Source organism: Homo sapiens, chromosome 5, assembly GCF_000001405.40.
Source record: "Homo sapiens chromosome 5, GRCh38.p14 Primary Assembly".
NCBI classification, from domain to species: Eukaryota; Metazoa; Chordata; class Mammalia; order Primates; family Hominidae; genus Homo; species Homo sapiens.
Window position 1 is genome coordinate 127026461 of NC_000005.10, and position 16022 is coordinate 127042482.

At 44.1% G+C, this 16022-nt stretch overlaps 1 protein-coding gene and 1 long non-coding RNA gene across 4 annotated transcripts in view, besides 3 other annotated features; one reads left to right on the forward strand and one right to left on the reverse strand.

The window, feature by feature from the left end:
- The window catches only part of MARCHF3 (membrane associated ring-CH-type finger 3), a 162845-nt gene extending 158747 nt beyond the window's left edge, over nucleotides 1-4098 (reverse strand). Inside the window, exon 1 of one of the 3 annotated variants that reach the window (NM_178450.5) lies at nucleotides 3890-4098. The gene's annotated coding sequence lies outside the window, so the exon portion shown is untranslated. Of the gene's footprint in view, nucleotides 1-3463; nucleotides 3846-3889 lie in introns of those variants that run through there. The other 2 variants (XM_011543131.4, XM_017009015.2) reach the window with 2 other exon arrangements.
- Nucleotides 4060-4439: a silencer, noted in NCBI's record as "silent region_16289". NCBI's record gives its function as "represses an Ori minimal core promoter by ATAC-STARR-seq in GM12878 lymphoblastoid cells {active_cell/tissue: GM12878}" and the evidence as "EXISTENCE:reporter gene assay evidence [ECO:0000049][PMID:35858748]".
- Nucleotides 4436-4980: an enhancer, noted in NCBI's record as "H3K4me1 hESC enhancer chr5:126366588-126367132 (GRCh37/hg19 assembly coordinates)". NCBI's record gives its function as "activates a minimal SCP1, AML or CMV promoter by ChIP-STARR-seq in primed H9 embryonic stem cells {active_cell/tissue: H9 hESC(primed)}" and the evidence as "EXISTENCE:reporter gene assay evidence [ECO:0000049][PMID:30033119]".
- LOC105379163 (uncharacterized) lies at nucleotides 4883-12412 on the forward strand. The gene is made up of 2 exons (XR_007058920.1): nucleotides 4883-9306; nucleotides 10769-12412. It is a non-coding gene; the product is annotated as an uncharacterized LOC105379163 (long non-coding RNA).
- Nucleotides 14321-15164: an enhancer, noted in NCBI's record as "OCT4-NANOG-H3K27ac hESC enhancer chr5:126376473-126377316 (GRCh37/hg19 assembly coordinates)". NCBI's record gives its function as "activates a minimal SCP1, AML or CMV promoter by ChIP-STARR-seq in naive H9 embryonic stem cells {active_cell/tissue: H9 hESC(naive)}" and the evidence as "EXISTENCE:reporter gene assay evidence [ECO:0000049][PMID:30033119]".

The following is a 16022-nucleotide window of genomic DNA, read 5'->3' on the forward strand; positions in this document are numbered from 1 at the left end:
AGACTGTCTGGTTAAGGTCAGGGTCATTGAACTAATTATTATATATGGTAGTTAACTTTATAAAGAAAACTACTACAAGGTCACATTCAATATAAGAAACAATTTGAAGAAAAAGGTTAAAAAATTGTAGATGATATGAACGACTAAGCATAACCCTATCATATCACCACAATCCTAAATCAAAACAATTTAAGTTGCAAGGCCAACTTCTCAGTTATTGGTGTCATCTTTGAATGTGAAAGACAAGATCTAAATATTATCCTTTTGTAGCTGCAGTTTGCTCATCTGTAACAAAGTGGAAAAAAATCATTGTCCTCAAAGGATTGTTAAGGTAAGTGACCTATCAACATGCCTGCCAAGTGCTTCTTTAAACAGAAATTACTCTGTAAAAGTTCCAGTGACGATCCAGTGGTCTGGAACAATCCAAGTTTAATACCCTGGCCTATACACATCCTTTTGTTATCAGGATACTTCTCACCTCTGAAAGAAGTCATTTGTTTTTTTAGCTACTTGGATGGTAGAAAGAGGGAAGGGTAACTTCTGATAGATCCTTTCTCTTTCAAACCTTATTTAGTAGTCTTAAATGGAGAATTATGCCAGTCTGAAATGGGAGAACAGAATCCAAATGTCAGTATCAAATGATAAATAAAAAACTAATTGGCAATAACTAATAAAAATTCACAGTGCTCTCAGTGAAAGGGGAGGTAGCAAACAATTCTCAACCCACATCTCTGTGACAATGAGAAAATCTATTTACCCAATTAATTGGGCAGCTCAAAATACTCCTAAGGTGACTTTCAGAAAGTAAGAATCTCTGGGCCTCTGGGTGGGTGGCCTGGGACACTCTTCCTGGCCACAAGCAAAATAGTCACAGCTTCCCAAGGCGATCATTGACCTCATATAGTCTGTAGTAGCCCAGCTGAGGTGCTGGGCTTTGTTCTAGAACAGCTTTTAAAGAGAAAAAGGGTGCCTCATGAAGATAAGGATTCTACCTTGCAGGAGGAAATGCTCAACCATGTGAATTAGGACTGGCAAAGTCACCCCAGAGCATCCCAGGACCCCACCGAACTCAGAGTGGGGGGTGAAGGAACTAAGACTGGGGTTTGTGGGGTGGGTCTTAAATTCATCAGGTCTTGTTTCATCAGGCAGACTTCCTTAGAATCAGGGCCAACCTGGAATAGGGATAGCTGAGGATTCCAAAACACTTTCAGATGTAAGACAAAAGGGGTCCATTGTTGAAGACAGAGAGTTAATGCATTACCTATAAATTTCACAAGGCCAGTAAATGCCACCTGGACATTTCTCAACAATTATTTGTTAAATCAACTCACAGACTATAACTGTTCTTTTATGTCATTAACACAATTCCAGTGTTTCTCAAAGTACAGTGAAGGGATCCCTGGCATCAGAATCACTTGCGGGTGCCTGTGAAAATGCAGATTCCTAAGGTCCATCCCAGACTCCTAAATTGAAACCCTGGGACTGAAGTCCTGCCCAAGAACTGAATTTCTAAGAAACAGCCTAGTTAATTTGGATGATTCATATCAAGGTGGGAAAATTATTATGTCTACATTGTCCATTAGAAATTTAAAGACACTCACAGATTAGTGTTTTGCATGTTTTCCCCAAAATGTTTATATACCATAAAATTGAAAACAATACTTCTTGTGATAAGCCCTTAAAAACCATTCAGTTTATTCCGCCCATATATAATGAACACCATTATTGAAATGTAATTATGAGCATAAAATTATTGGGAAAAATATGAACTATGCTTCTCAAAAATACTGCCTTTATTTTGTCACTAAAGTAATTGTGCTATTAAAGGAATTTATTGTTTTTTAAAGTATCAGTCACTTGGCTGCAAGAACTTATTAAGCTATTATACTCCTCCCATACCCTTTTAGTCATCAGAATTTTTGTGATAAAGCCTTTTTATTATTTTAAAACTATAAATTGTGAATCATTGCAACTAGTGATTAGACTGACTATGAATATATGTCCAGGTTATAAATTCCTAAAAGTATGTTTCATTAGAAATACCAAGGCAGTCTTAATTATAGCCTCTGCAATAAAGCTCTGTTTACTTCTATTAAGGTAGGTTTTTTTTTTTTTTTGGTGCAAAATGATTCAGTTTTAATGCATTATTTTAACAAGCAAAAGCAAACAGTTTCTGATATACATGCCATACTGCAAAGCTGTAAACCCGTGTTGCATGGTGATGTGACAAGCACCACATTTCTGGAGGGATTTTTTTTTCTCTCCTACAAGCTCCCCCTCCCCAAGCCGTGGCTATAATTATTTCACAAAATGCAGTTTGCCATTTCTAGAGACAAACACTTCCTTCTCCCTCACCAAAACTTCAAGTTCAGGCCAAATATTGAATGAAAATAGAACTTGAGAGGCAGGCTTTGTTTGTAGCATGTTGTTTCTGCTAAGAGTTGCCCCCTACCCAGGCTCCACCCCAGTGGTCGGACTGAAGTGTACATGTTATGTTTTAACAGATGGGCCGGCTGGCGGCTGCTGGGCTGTAAAACAGGAACGCGGATTCTGCACTGAGTGGTATTGAACTGAACGCTCGTAAAGTTCATGGACATACTCTGACCCAGACAGACCAGGCAGATGCAGACATGCTTACGCATACACACTCACTAACACCCCACAGCTCAGAGGATCCATCTCTGTGACCCAAGGGAAGTTCAAGGCTGAATTTCCCCTTCATATATTTACCTCATTCACCTTTTAATTTTATATATACACACACTCACACATATACACGTATGTATGTGTGTATATGCGCATCTACATCTTCATATACACATACAGAACTATATATCTCAACATTTTCATGTATTTTCAAAGGTCTAAACATCCCCAAATTCTGGACCTGTTTCTGTCTAGTATTTTCAAAAGCTCTTATTCATGTCAAATAAGAATTGTAAGAAAATATCGTATTGAATTCTGTTTATTCCGCACATAATATAAACTACATGCATGTAGTTGGTCTCAGAAAAACAAGCTGCTTTTACCCCCTTACCATTAAGGGGGGAAAACAATCTAACCCAGACCGAGTCACAAACGGAGTGTCAGGTTTAACCTTGAGTTCTCTGCTGTCAATTCCTGACTCAACTTCATCACTTAAACACGCAGGTGCTCAAACAAACACCAACCGACCAGGCTGGCAATCCCTTTCGCAGCCTCTAGGATTCTCCAAGGCACTGGGCACCAGAACCGACAGCAGCTCCCGCCTGGTCCTAACGAAGTCCTTCGGACACCCCTTGCGGGTGGATGTGGAGGTCCGAGCACCTCAGGAGGGTCATGGATTCAAGTGCTAATAGAAAGCAATTACTTTAGAAAGTTCAAAGCCCAGCAGTGCTCTCAATTCCTCTCAGTAGCTGCAGAGCACTGAAGCCCCCGCTACAGAACCCGGCTGGTACTCCAGTTCTCTGGCGCTGAGACCCACCTTGAGCCCGATGAGCGCTCGCTCAGCCTTGAGATCCAGACGCGGACGCCGGGTCTTACCGTACCGCACAGCGCGGGTAATTTTTCAGGAACCGCGGTCCGCACGCCGCGGGCGCGGAGGCCGCCCCAGCGCTCCATGTCGTTGCCGCAGAGGGGCAGGGGACGCGTCCCGGCCCCACCTACCCATGTCAATTACGCCAAGTTGGTGCGGACTGGAACCGCGTCCCGGGCGGAGTTGGGATGCTTTGACAAGAAGAAGTTCGGGAGTGGGGATATTGGCACGGAGTAAATCCCGCCCAGCCCTGACCTCCCCACAGCGGTCACGCTCGGACGAACGGACCGCCGAGCGCCAGGACGCGTCCCGTCCCCTCTCGCCGCCGCCGAACCGCGCCGAGAGGAGCCGCTAGCCCGGCGCGCGGCCACTCACCGTCCTCGCCGAGTCCCGATAGCAAACCGACGTCCCTGCTGCGGTTCTAAGTGCCAAGTTGCCCCCAGTCGGTGGCTGCTCACGGCCCAGTGGACCAGGGCACATTGGTTCCGGCGGGCACCTCAGGGGGAGTGCGGCAAGCCTGGCGGCCGCCGCGGCCACACAGTCGCCCACAGCGCGCTGACAATTCACGGACCTGCTCAACGAGTGAGGCGGAAAGCAGGGCTAAGCCGACCAGGCTCTGGAGGGGAGGCGGGGCTGCCGCTAGGGGCGGAGCCAGCCCCGGGGCGTCATCAGCCCATGACTGGCGGAGCCGACAGCCAGTCGTGGTGGCGCTGGGACCGCCCCGTAACCGCCGTCCAGTCGCCTGCGGCCGAGGGCAGGCTGGCGGGACGCGCCGGCGGCGGGGAAGTTGGTTATTGCGAAGTGCCGTGGCTGCCGGCGGGCGCTGCGGGACTCTCTGCAATGGGACCCGAGCAGCTCTAGAGGGAGGCGGCGGCCCCAGAAGGCCGTTGGCTGAGAGAGACCAGGAGCCCTCGGAGCCGCCGCGCGCATAGCGCTGTGGAGCAAGAAGCCAACCGCAGCGCGGGTCGACACGCCAGTATCTGGCACCGGCAGGAGGCGCGGAACTTAGCTGCCCCATCGGAACCCCGCCCGGAGGAAGCTGAGGGCCGAGAAAGGATGAATTCCGGACCGGGTCGCCCAGCCACAAGTGGAAACCTGGGCTCTCTGGAAAACGTTCTGATCTCGATCTGGCTATCTCTGAAACAAAACTCCAGCCCCGCAAACCTCCCAAAGTTCAGTACACGTCCCCGTCCTCACCCCTGCCCTCCGGGCCACCTGCAGCGGGGGACTTACCGGCGCCTCGGGTCTCCTCCTCCCGACCCAGCGCGTCGCGGACACAGCTGGCGGCCAACAGGAGGCTTGGGCGCTCGACGGCGCCGGAACCTGTGAGACCGTCGCTCTGGGCGGGCTGCCGTGCGGGGTGGCATCCTCTGCGGTGACTTCTGCTGTCTTTTGGGTCCGCCAGGATTCCAAAATCCCAGGCGGGTCGCTAGAATTATCCATCTTCGTGGACAGGAAGCCCCAGAACGAACCACATCTGTCCCACTCTGCTTCCGCCCTCCTTCCCCTTCGCAAGCTCCTGGCTGGGATGGAGACATCGGACGAGCTCGGAGATCCCGACCTCTCAGGGGTCACTCGCAGCCGAACAGCCTGGAATATGGCCTTGTGGGCCCTTCCCGCCCAACCCCCTAGGACCCCACTGCTCATCTTGTCAACCAGTTTCTGAGCCCCTACCCTGGCTGCAGCACGTGCTCGCACAGGCGCGCTGAGCTACTAACATAGAATCAAAAGCAGGGAGTTGGGTGTTCTTGCTTTCCCGCTGAAACCTAGAATGTAAACAAGCCCTAGACCGTCAGCTGTGGGTGGGTAGGGGCCTCTCCCTGCCTAGAACTGCTCTTGCCATGGGTAGGCACCTAACCCGTATTAGTAAGAATGAAGGAATGCATGCTCATAACAAGAAAGGGGTCAACCTGCTGCCCTGATACTCACCTTCACCACTTACGTCTTGCTTCCAGCGCAAGCCCACTTCAGACCATTGCCTCATTCAGGTCCCAGAAGTCCTAAGGGTTTTAGTCTCTCAGTATGGGCAATTATTCACATGTAAGGGAGCTGCAAGGTGTTATTTCAATGCCATCTGGCCTCTATAAGGTCTTGCATCATAGCTGACCTCTCATGAGAAGGTTCTGATGAGGTCACCAGGGAGAAGGAATGTAAAGGGCTGGTGGCTGAAAAGGAGTGAAATGGCCCCTCTTAGGTGAGCTCTGGCCTGGTTTGAGTTTCAATTCTGTCTCCTCAGCTCCATTTCTCAATGGGAAAAGGTCCATAGGAAGGTTGTCAGAAGGGCAGGAGACTAGGGCAGGGATAGCCCTTTGCAGACCCTGAAAAATTGCTCAGTAATGCAAACATTGTCCATATTTAAGTTCTTTCTTTTCTTTTCTTTTTTTTTTGAGGCAGAGTCTCACTCTGTCGCCCAGGCTGGAGTGCTATGGCTTGGCTCACTGCAAGCTCCGCCTCCTGGGTTCACGCCATTCTCCTGCCTCAGCCTCCCAAGTAGCTGGGACTACAGGCGCCCGCCACTACGCCCGGCTAATTTTTCGTATTTTCAGTAGAGACGGGGTTTCACCGTGTTAATCAGGATGGTCTCGATCTCCTGACCTTGTGATCCGCCCGCCTCGGCCTCCCAAAGTGCTGGGATTAGAGGCGTGAGCCACTGCGCCCAGCCTTAAGTTCTTTATTTTCTATCTTGTGGACCAAAGGACTGCTACAGGCAAGGAAGACCATCTGACTCAATTCCAGAGGTTCCTTAGCATGCTGCTGACTGGCCTAGGAGAATGGCCTTTGCCCATAAAGTATTAGATGTAGACCACATGAATGGAATATTCACCAGGTTTCTGCCCAGGTCTGGATTGGGCAAGGACATGGCTGGAGGTGCCTTACAGGAGAGAAGGCCAAAGAGAGAGAAGACTTGACTCCCAACCTGATTCCAGCAGAACTCCACTTTGATGTGTTTTTAAAATTGTGCTCTTCTGTTTGCTTTCACGGAGGCTGCCATGAAACGTCATCTTTGACTAGAATTATCAGGAAATGCTCATGGAAGAAATATACTTCCTTGGATTTTTTTTCCTACCACACTTCAGGATATAACTAGAGAAAACATTTGCCAACAGTGCTTATCATATTAGTACCCTGTGAAGGTTTTCATAGATGCTGATTATTATTTTTAAAATCATTTCGGGAATAGGAGCCAAACACTAGGTCATGACTGTACTTACTTTAGTATTTACATTAAGTGATGAAAAATGGAAATAAAGGAAATGTCCTGTCATGAAACAAGTTAGAATTAGGTGACTTTCATGTCCTGATTTCCAAGGTTTTCTGTTTGTTTCAGACAGACAAGATCATCCATGGGTTCTTGGACAAGTAATAGGTCTCATTTTCCCTTGTAGACCAGAAGACATGGAAAAGACAGCATATTCGGACTATATTCATATTTCCATACCATCTTTTGTTGTAATTGATTTTCAACAAGAGCCCCTAACAATCTCTTGAGTTTGGGCCATCCCCATATTCTACAAGGGAAAATGAGATCTCTTACTACTCCAATAACCCATGCTTACACTATCTGTATGGAACAAACAGAGAACCATCAAAATCTGAACGCAGAAGTCACTTATTTAGTCCCAATCTATTTTGTGAAAGAAAATTTCTTTTACTCAAAGAGATGAAGAAATTTACGGAATGGCTTGGGAATGAGAAGATTCAGGTGGGACCATGGAAGCAAAGCTTGTTCTTTTGTGGATGGTAAGATTGTCTTCAGGCACTGTCACTCCTTTATGACACTAAAACAGTATTTTAGAATCCCCTAAATTTCAATAGGATGTGATTGGTAGGAGCCATGGGTTCTAATCTTAACAGCTGCTGTGGTGGGTGCTCCTGGCAGTCACTCATCCTTTGTTATCTCTTCCTTCTTTGGCCATAAAACAGTAGTGGCAGAATTGGCCCACTATGTGTAGCTGCATAAAGGGGACATCATGACAATGGTTATGAAGCACTGCAAATGCATTGCATTTACAGTAGTACTGCCTGCTAAAAAGGAGATGAAAATGATGTTGAGATGGGAAAATAGTGTGGTATGAACAATTCCTATTTACATGTGCAATTTACATTTTTCTTTCCATTTACATGTGCAATTTCCTCCTTCCTTCCCTTTCCTCCCTCCCTTCCTGTCTCTCTCTCTCTCTCTTTCCCTCTTTCTCTCTTTCGTTCTCAGACTCACACTCTGTCACCCAGGCTGGAGTGCAGTGGTGCAATCTTGGCTCACTACAACCTCCACCTCCCAAGTTCAGGTGATTCCTTTGCCTCAGCCACCCGAGTACCTGGGAGTACAGGCGTGGGCCACCACGCCTGGCTCATTTTTGTATTTATAGTAGAGACGGGGTTTTGCCATGTTGGTCAGGCTGGTTTCCAACTCCTGGCCTCAAGTCATCTGCCCACCTCAACCTCCCAAAGTGCTGGGATTATAGGTGTGAGCCATCACGCCCAGCCCATTTATTTTAATGTCATTAGATTATTGTCCTTTCAGTATTTAAGTGGAAATGAGAGGAAACCATCTTTATTCTTTAAGGAGGAATACAGCTTCTAAAAGTTTTGGTTACCTAAAGTTTTTGAAGGTGTAATAGGAATGAGTTACCAGAACAGGAAGAATTGTAGAAGCAGACCTAGAGTTGAGGAAAATTTTACTTACATGGATAGTATTTTTTTCCTCTCCCTGGCTCCTACCACCTCTCTCAACATATATTTACTGAGAAAGTTGTTCACAATTTAAAGAGGTTGAGCTAAAGATCTTAGCAAAGAAATGCAATCAATGCAATCAAAGCTGGAGATTCGTTTTTTTTTTTTTTTTTTTTTTGAGACAGAGTCTTGCTCTGTCACTAACGCTGGAGTGCAGTGGTGCGATCTTAGCTCACTACAACCTCTGTCTCCCTGGTTCAAGCGATTCTCCTGTCTCAGCCTCCTAAGTAGCTGGGACAACAGGCACATGCCGCCAGGCCCAGCTAATTTTTGTATTTTCAGTAGAGACAGGGTTTCGCCATGTTGGTCAGGCTGGTCTTGAGCTCCTGACCTCAAGTGATCCACCTACCTTGGCCTCCCAAAATGCTGGGATTACAAGTGTGAGCCACCGTGCCTGGCCCAGAAGCTGCAGATTCTAATACTAGCTTTGCAATGTATTCATTCTGATACCTTGGGCACGTCATCAACCTTCCATATCTTAGTTTCCTATCTGGGAAACTGCAGTGGTACTTATGACCAATTTCACAGAGATGACAGCAATAACTAATGATAGGCACTTAGATTTTAGACTTAATGGGAGTTAGTTCCCTTGACACAGCAGTATGGGAACAATAACTGGCCAGCCAATGAGTGAAAAAGCTGGATTATCCCTTAGAAATGAATTGTATCATTACTGATTATGAATACACCAAATTATGACAGATTCACATGTAAGAATGCCAGGGAAAAGTAGCCGTGAGCTATAATATACAAAATTGTTTATTACCCAAGAGAATCTAGGTGCTAATACGGATGGTACTACACCTGTGAAATTCTGAAACCCTTGAAGGATTTGAAGATATAAAGCCAAATAAAACATAATACAGAGGGAAATGATTTTGATTATGTAACATTTATATATAGCATTTGTTTTTACATTTTCAAATTGCTTTTCAGTCATTGGTTTATTCTTCACAGCACACCTGGGGAGTACATCTGTGCATTTATCCTCTGTTCACAGCTGAGGCAACTGAGACTGAAACAGGCAAAGTGGTTTGTCCAAGAGCAAAGCCAGGGGCAGGGTGAGAAATTGTTCATTCATTCAATCATGCATCTATTCTTGGCAAGGCACCAAAGTCTGTGTGGTGGTGGTGCACAGAGATGGATATTGTCTATGTGGCCTCTACCTTGCAAGAGCCTGCAGTCTCTGAGACAATAAGCGGTTCATGAATTATGCCTCCTAGAGTGCTCAGACAGCAAGGACCAGGGTTCAGAGGAGGAGAGGGTGAGAGTTCCCTAGGATTCCTGGAGAGAGTTGGATTCAGGGCCCATGAGGGATGGGTAGAATTTTGGCAAATGGAAGTGTGGCTAGTGGGAATGACAGACATGAAGGTGGGCAAATTTAAGATGTTTTGGAGAATATCTGACTACAGCAGGGCCGTTGTGGGGAAAGGGCAGGAGAGTAGAAAGGAGCGGGTTTCCCAGGATGCTGAATGCCCAGCCAAAATACATGGATGAATCCATGAATACATGGATTTCAGCCCAAGGGCAATGGGGGTTGGACTTATCTCTGACTTCTCGTATTCACTCATTATTCTAACATGTGCTGTACCTAGTGCTAATATGTGCTTAGTCTACAGGTATTTTTCCACACATCAGCTTTTCTAACCTTCGCGTCACTCTAATGAGATACATATTATTCCTCCTTTAATGGATTAAAAAATTGATGCACTTAGAGGTTGAGACTTGCCTACGATCATGTAGCTAATAACTGACATATGTGAGATTTGAAAGTAGGATTCCTGACTTCTACATGGCGACAAATGGAAAGAACGAGTGTAGATTCTGGAGAGTGTACTCAGGATGCCCATCAATAACATGCCCCTCACCTTAGCTCAGTGTTGTTCCAGAAAAAATAACTACATAGGAGTGAAATCTTTTTTTTTTTCTTTTGAGACAGGGTCTCACTCTGTTGCCCAGGCTGGAGTGCAGTGGCATGATCTTGGCTCACTGGTTCAAGCAATTCTCCTGCCTCAGCCGCCCAAGTAGCTGGGATTACAGGCGTATGCCACCACACCTAATTTTTGTATTTTTATTTATATTTATTTATTTATTTATTTGAGATGGAGTTTTGCTCTTGTTGCCCAGGTTGGAGTGCAGTGGTGCGATCTCGGCTCACTGCAACCTCTGCTTCCCTGGTTCAAGAAATTCTCTTGCCTCAGCCTCCCAAGTAGTTGGGATTACAGGCGCCCACCACCACGCATGGCTAGTTGTTTTGTATTTTTTGTAGAGACAGGGTTTCACCATGTTGGCCGGGCTGGTCTCAAACTCCTGACCTCAAGTGATCCACCTGCCTCAGCCTCCCAAAGTGCTGGGATTGCAGGCGTGAGCCACCGTGCCTGGCCAAAATGGAACATTTTAAAATCCCAAATTTACTACACAACAGACTGTCCTTTACGACTGAAGTCATGGAGATTTGTGAATAAAATGTTGAATGTTTCTCCATGTTTGTTTATTTGCTTGTTTTTTTCTTTTGTTTTTTAGGAAGTTTGAAAGAAAGAAAAATATGCCAAGATGATTAAGTTTCACCTAAGATTTTAAAGCTCCCACCTAAAAGATGTGGAAAACAAGCACTATACCAGGATATTGTACCTTATTTCTGCCCTGTCTTAAAAACACCATGACATTTTCCTTGATTTCAAGAATACAGAAAATGAACATGGTCCTTTAAATTATGTGACTCTTTCGAAGCAAAATGACAACAAGGAAAAACCACATTTGTTTTCTGCCTCCCTTTTTCAAGAAGCTGAAAATATAGTGTAAATGAACTCTTGGTCGTGGGTCAACATCCTTACAATACCTGCCCCTCGTTCTCAGGTTAGAGATTTCTCCTCTGCCTTTTCATTCTCACCCACACCCAACTTGAAATAGGTCTCCAGGTCCCATTTTGATCACATATTCTTTCAGTCACATGCGGAACATGAGAAGGGGTTAAATGTAGCTCTGCAAGACCAGCAAAACTCATCACTAAACTGGAAAACAACTTCAGGCTTACTATCAACAGGGGGTAGTTAGCATCAGTTTAAAGACTGTGAATGTGCACAAATGTTTTCTAAGAATATTTTTCAGAAGAGTGTAATTATAGGTATAATCTCTAATTGCATTATAAATGATAAATAAGAGACGGTTAGCAAACTATATTTCAGGGCTGTTTGCTGTACTTATCTGCTGCCATCACTGGCCCTGTCTTCCTTTGTGACTGCAGACTGTGTTGTTTATTAGTCTTGGTGGTAAGGGGGAATTGCTGTACAGTACTTTTGTGTTAGGACAGGATCTTACAGATGATAATGAAGGTTGCAGGAAGGACTGTTGAAACGTTTTATTTTGGTATTTGTTTCATTTTTAAAGGCTGTGACTAGGACTTCATACCTGTCTAATAAGCATGCATGTAACATTTTTATATTTGCTGAGTGCTTCATAGTCCTCCATTAGTCCCCACAATACCCCTTGAGGGTAGGTCAGTATTACAGTTTACAATATGAGGAAATTTAAGATACAAAGGGATTATGTGATTTGTACAAGGTCACCCAGCATGCAAGCCTAGCTAATAAAATATGACTACAAAGCTCTTTCCAAATAAAAAGTACCTTATAAATGTTAGGTAGTATTAATGGGTATGATCCCAGAATGAGTAAAATACTCTTCAGGAGTAAAGTGCTCATACATGGTATATAATATTAATTCTCTCTCTTTTTTTTTTTTTTTTTTTAACCTGTGGGTGACTTTTGAAATAGTTATTCTTGAACCTGGCTATGCATCAGAAATGTCTCTAGAGTTTTTAGAACATGTGAGCACATAGACCCCTACTCAGCCGACAGAATCATAATCTGGGCAGTGGGATTTAGATAATTATGCCTTGAAAAATCTCCATGGGGGATTTGGATGCTCAGTCAGAGCTGAGAACCACTACTCTAGGCTAGAAGAGTAACATCGGTCAGGCCAAGAGCAACAACAAAACACTGTGGAGTTAATTCAGAAGAGAAAGTCTGGTGTCTTCCAGGCCTCTGTCCAGCCAGTTCACAACTATTATTAGCAGAGGAACTGCCTCCCTGAAATAATCAACTGTAATAACCATGTGTGAAATTCCCGGAAATAGTGCAGAGATTAAAGTTTATTTAAGAACCGTCAGTTTTTGAAAGTTATAATTTACTGGGTAAATTTACTGGCACACCCTTGGTTTATTACTGTGCTTAGTGTTTTTATTCTGAATACTTTGTACTTCTTCATAATCAACATGGTAAGAACCTATAATATCTGCCCATTCATCCATCTGCCAAACACTTATTGAATACTTGCTGTATGGAAATTTCAGAGTGAAAATAATGATCTTTTTCCAGAAGTTTATAATCAAGTGATAAAAACAGACACAGGCAAAACCAACCAACCAAACAAAAACCTGAAGCCACACATATGATAATAAAAAGTATAATCAAAGTGTTAGATGAGGCATTATTCATAATTGCTAAAAAGTGGAAACAGCTCAAATATCCATCAACTGATAAATGGATAAATGTGGTATACCCACACAATGAAGTATTATTATTATTCAAACAATGAAGTGGAATGTATACTGATAATGCTACAATATGGATGGATCTTAAAAACACTATGCTAAGTGAGAGAAGCCAGTCACAAACGTGGTATTCCCATACAATGAACTATTATTATTATTATTATTAAACAATGAAGTGGAATGTAGTACTGATACATGCTACAACATGGATGGATCTTAAAAACGCTATGTTAAGTGAGAGACACCAGTCACAAAGGACCACATATCGTATGATTCCATTTATATGAAATGTCTTGAATAGGCAAATCTGTAGAGACAGAAAACAGATGGTTGCCTAGGGCTGGGGATGGGGAAGGATGGAGGAAATGGGTGACTGCTAGTGGGTACAGGGTTTCTTTTTGGAGTGACGAAATGTCCTAAAATTGATTGTGGTGACAGCTGCACAACTTCGTTGACTATACTAAAAACCGTTCAATTGTACGCTTTAAATGGGTGAATTGTATGATATGCAAATTGTATCTCTAATAAAGACAATGGAAGATAGATAGATAGATAGATAGATAGATAGATAGATAGATAGAGCTGTATGAACTTGGAGGAAAGAGAGATTAATTAATTTGGATTGGAAGAAAGTCGTGGGAAATTTCCTGGAGGAAATGATATTTGAGCTGACTCAAAAAGGATGATTTTTGTAAGATGGTGTGGATGAAAGGAGGGAAGGTATGCTCAAAGAGACACTCAAAGTGAGGGTGCTTTCATGCAAGGGCAAGTTATCTGGAATAGACAAGAGTTTAAGATGCATGAAGGATACAGTAGATGGAGGCTAGATGCAGGGCTTTTACTGTCATGCTAAGTTCTGTGGTTTGGTTTTCATTTTTGTAGGCAATGGAAAGCCACGATAGGTCTGTGAGTGGATGATCAGACCTGTGATTTGGAAGGATAATTAGAAGTGGTGATGAGGTAGATAGAAGATGGCATAGGAGAGCAGTGAGTAAGGGAGGCCATTTAGGAGGCAAAGGCATTGCAATGTGTAGGTGAGAGATGAAGAAGCCTTCGACTACTGCAAAAGCCGTGAGGACTGAAACAAGGAGACAGATTTTTTTTTTTTAGTAGAGTCAGGGCACTATGTTGCCCAGGGTGGTCTTGAACTCCTGGGCTCAAGCAATCCTCCCACCTCAATCCTCCCACCTCAAAGCAATCCTCCCGCCTCCCAAAGTGTTAGGATTACAGGTGTGAGCCACTGCGCCCGACCAAGGAGGCAGATTTAAGAAATGGTTAAGAAGTAGAATCATTAAACTCACGTACCCCCTGATGGCCCTGGGGGAGTAGGTGGAAAAGCATACAAATTGGACAGCACACTATCTGAAACCACGTAAGGGCATGGGTCCTTTTTTGACAAATTATTTTGAATGAAAAAACTTTTGTTGAAATAATGTCCAGCAAGCAAATTGTAGCTCTTTACATCTGTTAACAAGGGTTTGATTACAGACATTCTTCAATTTTTTAACAAAGGAATGTATATTGTGAATCAAAGGTGGATTGAAGACAGAAATGCAATCCAATCATTCTGTGAGCACTTTCCAATCAGACCTCCCCTTGTTGAAGATGAAGCAGTCGTCATTTATGGACTATTCCGAATGACTAAGTATTTACCTCTTGCTCAGATAGCTTCCCTAGAAACACTTCCTTTGGTGTGAGCAACTTGGATTTACTGCCAGGGCAACACCTCCCATCCAACGCCCACACTGCCTCTTGGCTGGGTCCTCACCAGCAGGTGTTCATAAGCAGTATTTTGTTTTGCTTCTATTAAGAGTGTAGGCTTTGAAAAGCATCGTCTGAACGTATCACCCATTATACTTTCACTTACAAGTGTTCTTATGGGGAGATCTGAAACCTTGGCGTCTCAAGGATCAGGAAGACAAAGACTGCCTTTTCTCATGCAAGGCCACACCTATGTTTTCCATTAGAAGGAGGGGCAGGCAAATCCTGGGCAAGGTCAAAATATAAAGTCTCTCCCAGTGCATGGCGGTGCACTCCCTGGGGATCTGTTAAAACCTCTTTTGTGTGTTTTGGAAGGTGTTACGGTGAAACTGCCTGCTGCTAGCTGAGTTTGAGAACAGTGACCCTGACAAGTGCCTTACAGGAGTTTATCAAGTGGAGAACACCATTTAGAACACCACTCACTGAGATGCAGCTCTTATCTGTGCCTGTCAGTGAACAATGTTCAATCGCAGATCACAGTTGTTAGCAGAGCTAATTACAGCAGTCTCAGGTGAGAAGAATCCCAGCAACTGCCTCTAAGGGACTTCCATCACAGGGGCTTCGCAGGTAAGCAACGAAAATAGCCCCTTGGGGGATCTATAAACAACAGTTCTCTGCAACTCTGAACATGGACTCATCCACAGTTGGTGAGAGATCATGTTCAAAAGAGAACCACCAAAGGGAGAAGGAGGAAAGGGATGCTTAAAGCCAGGAAGGGAAATGTTCTGGATTAAATAAGAGCAGAACTGGGTATTTATTATTCCTTGGGCTGTCTGACTCACTGCATAACCTTATAAAGTCATTTCCTCTTTCTGGGACTCACTGTTCTCATCTCAAAAATAAGGATAGTAATACCTGCCCTATTTATATCACGGGATTGCTGACAGAATAAAATAAAATAAAATATGTATTTTTAAAAATAAAAGCTGGGGAAAACTAGAAAATACAGCTTTAGGTAGAGTAACTGATTCCCTTTGTCTTATTTCACATTTTACTTATAAATGATGGAAGGGAACAACAACAAATATTGGTGCTATTACAGAATCCTAGATTTCAGTTTCTCATGCCTCCAGTTTTTTGTGGTTTGCACATCTTCAGATTTGCCTCTCCCTCCCCAATTTGTTCTCAGCATCAGTTCTGGGGTAAACTCAGGCTCCAGTTTGAGGAGGAGAGGAAGATCCCAAGAATCTGAAGAGGCCAAGCCCCTGTATTTTTTTAGTCTCTTGTCTTTGTGTCTCCTGCTGCAGCCCACGTCTTGAGGGCCTCCTCCCAAGTCCTGAAGGTGAATCCTGCCTGTGGGATACCTGGTTTGCTGGGGACGTTGGCCCTGAATGAGAATTTCTAATGTCAAATTGGGACTTAAGAAGATATCTCTAGAACAGAACCAAAAAGAATCTGTAACAACGTGCCCTAAACATGTCTTAGGCTGGGTCTGTAACTACATTCTTGTTCCTGCTGAAAATC